We start from the raw sequence: 4,017 nt of genomic DNA, 5'->3' as shown, positions 1-4,017 counted from the left end.
CTGGCACATATCCTTTGATATCCTGGATGTTTGTTTGACATTAGGAAATCTAGCATGCTGTACCACTCTTGCATAAGAACCATGCTTCACCTTCCTGCCTCACCCCAGGTCTAAGAGGAAGCCTGTGACAAGCTTACAAGGAAAGACCCTTTAAATGTGGTATCTCCTTTCCCCAGCCCAAAGCTCATGAAGTGAACAAGAGCAGGTTCAGTTCTGTACCTCCAGCACTTACTATCGTAATTGCCTGACAGGTTCTTCCTGTGTAGTGCACAGACAAAACCAATTCACTGAGACCACAGTATTGCAGTAGAGAAAGAGTTTAATTAACACAGAGCCTGCCAAGTAGAAGGATTGCAGTTATTACTCAAATCAGTCTCACAGAGAACTCAGAGGCTGGAGTTTTTATGGATAGTTTGGTGGGGGAGGGGCTAGGGAATATGAGCTGCTGATTGGTTGAGGATGAAATCATAGGGGTGTGAGGAACTGTCCTTGTGCACTGAGTCTGCCTCTGGATCGGGGCCACAGGACCTGTTGAGTGATGAATCACAAATCCGGTTAGGGTTAGTTGGTTTCCAGAATGCAACCATCTGAAAAACATCTCAAAAGACCAATCTTAGGTGCTACAATAGTGATGTTATCTATAGGAGCAACTGGAGAAGTCATAAATCTTGTGAACTCTGACCACATGACTCCTGAGCAGTAAGGGATTATAGAAACTATGCTTGCATTTTAGCAGAATTCAGGCCCTTCCCATTATCTAGTGGCCTTTCGTCAGTTTTACAAAGGCAGCTTCAGTCCCTGAGCAAGGAGGGAGTTTGTTTTAGGGAGGGACTATTATAATTCTTGCTTCAAAGTTAAACTATAAACTGAATTCCTCCCATGGTTAGCTTGGCCTCGGTCATGAATGAGCGAGGACAGCCAGCCCGTGAGGCTAGAGGCAAGAGGGAGTCAGCCATGCCAGGCTTCTCCCACTGTTATAATCTTTGCAAAGGAAGTTTCACTATTTGGCCTTATTATGCACATAGCATAATAAACTTAACTACATTTTATTTGAATACCTACTGTGTGCCAAGCTTATACCCTATCTTGAAACCTCAAAACCCTGCTCTTCTCTATTGCCATATAACCTCCACTGAAGATGAGAAAAGTGAAACTTTGTGAGGTTAAGTTACTGGATCACAGTGGTGTGAGGGAACAGGGAACAGTTCAGCTGGACTAGAATCAATTCCCTCTTGCAATCTGCTGTGCACCTGCCTTCATGGAGGCCCTCAATGAAGGATTGTGACTTTTGAACTATGTATTTGAGGAATGAAGAACTAAGGGAGGAAATGGTCCCTATTTTCATCAAGTTCTTCATATTATGCAAAACATCCAGAAGAGTGTAGACAATTTGGTTTAAAGAGAACAAAAGTGTAAAATACCAGGGTTGTTAACTTTTAAGGTCATATGATCACTGTTTTAGAAATGGTGCAGTCTCGGCTCACCGCAACTTCAGCCTCCTGGGTTCAAGTGATTCTCCTGCCTCAGCCTCCCAAGTAGCTGGGATTACAGGCATGCGCCACCACGCCTGGCTAATTTTTTCTTTTTTTTTTTTGAGACGGAGTTTCGCTGTTGTTACCCAGGCTGGAGTGCAATGGCACAATCTCGGCTCCCCACAATCTTTGCCTTTCGGGTTCAAGGGATTCTCCTGCCTCAGCCTCCCGAGTAGCTGGGCTTACAGGCATGTGCCACCACACCCGGCTAATGTTGTAGTTTTAGTAGAGACGGGGTTTCTCTGTGTTGGTTAGGCTGGTCTCAAACTCCTGACCTCAGGTGATCTACCCGCCTCGGCCTCTCAAAGTGCTGGGATCACAGGCATGAGCCATCACTCCTGGCCTAATTTTTGTATTTTTAGTAGAGAGAGGGTTTCACTCTGTTGGCCAGGCTGGTCTCGAATTCCTGACCTCAAGTTATCTGCCTGCCTCGGCCTCCCAAACTGTTGGAATTACAGGCGTGGGCCACCATGCCTGGCCAGCTCTATTTCTTTAAGCCTACATGTTTTGCACTTGTTAAAAGTATTTGAACATACAATTACTTAGCTTCCCTTGTTTACGCGTGAATTTTGTATAATCTTAAATATTTTTTCCAATCTAAGCTTTATTTTATCCCGTTTCTTCTATATTTGTATAACTTTAGGAGGCTATCTTCATTGAAAGTTTTTTCTCAAAAGCCTTAAGATAGAACATAGTTCTTGGCAGCAATTTGAAAGTTACTTGAGGAGGAGGGGAGACTTACAATGATGATTCAAATGAAGGAAACTAAAAAGTAATGAAGCAAGGCAGAGGAAAAAGCAGTATTCACTTGAGCACATCCCAAAAGAATAACATTTCAAATGTAACTGGAAAAAAGTATGCTGAAGTTCGCAATACAGAAATAATTATTAATAAGATAGCTTTAAAGCCCTGCTCAGCTTTTGAATGTTGGGAATTGACCCAGAGGTGGCTGTAACCTAAGATGGTTCCTTCAGTAATGACCATTTTTTCTTTTTCAAGATGATGATTATTCCCCACCTTCTAAGAGACAAAGACCAGCGAGCCACCACAGCCACCAGTCCCAGAACCCGCCAATGCTGGGGAACGGAAAATGAGGGAGTTCAACTCTGGTAAGTTCTCAGCGAAATCCATGACCTTTTCCTTTATCTTCTGGACTCTCAATGTGACTGATGAAAGTTACCACATGCTCTGCAGGGGGAAATGGTTTAGCATGTGTTACTACATCTTAATCACATCTTTGTAAAGCCAGGAGCATTTTACAAGTCACGTTACAGACATTGTTTAAACATAGTCTGTATTTACCAAAGTATAGGACGTTGTATCATCTCATATTAATTAGTCAGTTGGCTCAAAATTAGTGCTAATGACTTAGTAATTCAGTGATTTCTGTTAGCTTTAAAACCTTTATTTCAGAACTATTTCACCTCTTGGTTTTCATTTTTGCTGTGTGTTACTGCCTGCCGGCTGCTAATTTATTAACTCCCAGTGAATCATGTGTCCTGTGAAGGGACTGAATATTAGTGGCAATTTATGTTGATGATTTGTATTTTGAATAAATAGTTTGAATACATAGAACATTAAGCTTGTAAACATTTTGAAAATAGTATTTTAATATTCTACTGTGTCATAGTTACAATCATTGGATATATATTGAATTTATATGTACTTTAAGTTGTTATATGTTTATGGTCTTTAGCATTCTAACATGCAATTGTATATCTGTTAAGTCTTTTTTTTTTTCGAGATTAGACTGATTTATTGAGGCATCTGTTTGATGCCACATTAAGTGGCCCAGGCTTTGTGTAGGGGTTGAGGTAAAAGCAGGAAGAAGGGTGGTGAGAGGCGGGGTACCAGGATTAGGTTGGAATACCTGGGGGTGCTCTGAGGCTCCCCAAGTTTCCCTGGTCTTGGCCGGCTGTGCTGCTGGCCTGGGCATCTGATGGGCCTGCAAGGGTGGTCCAGGGGCTAGGGCAGGGACTTTGGAGTCACGCCATTGGCTTTGAATCCAGACTCCTACACTTGGTAGCTGTGAACTCTCCATGCCTCAGGGACCTGCAAAACTGAGCTCTGTCTGAGCCAGGTTCCATCCAGGCACTGCGGATCCATCCAGAGGGGCACTGCCTCAGGCTGCTCGCTATTCACTGCCTTCCCAAGCCGACCCTTGTCTCCTTCTAGGCCCTCACAATCCAGTGGAGGAGACGAAACTCATCTGCCTCTGTCCCTCTGGGCACGCCTCATGCCAGGTGCATCTGTGGACAGGGGCCATGCTCCTGGGCTTCCAAAGTTGGAGAAAGCTGCCAGGCTCAGGTGGGTACATCACAGCAGCTGCTGCCCTCTGAACACAGTGACAAAAGAACACTCTGGGCCTGGAGCCCTGGCCTGGGGCATTGGGCAAGGCTGTTGCACTTCTCTGATCCCATTTCCCCATCTGGAAAGTGCGCTGATTGTATCTCCCTGTGGGCACTGAGGGCTCAGTGTTAGTTCG

Source organism: Homo sapiens, chromosome 1 (assembly GCF_000001405.40).
Source record: "Homo sapiens chromosome 1, GRCh38.p14 Primary Assembly".
In the NCBI taxonomy this organism is placed as follows: domain Eukaryota; kingdom Metazoa; phylum Chordata; class Mammalia; order Primates; family Hominidae; genus Homo; species Homo sapiens.
This window is presented reverse-complemented; position numbering follows the sequence as displayed.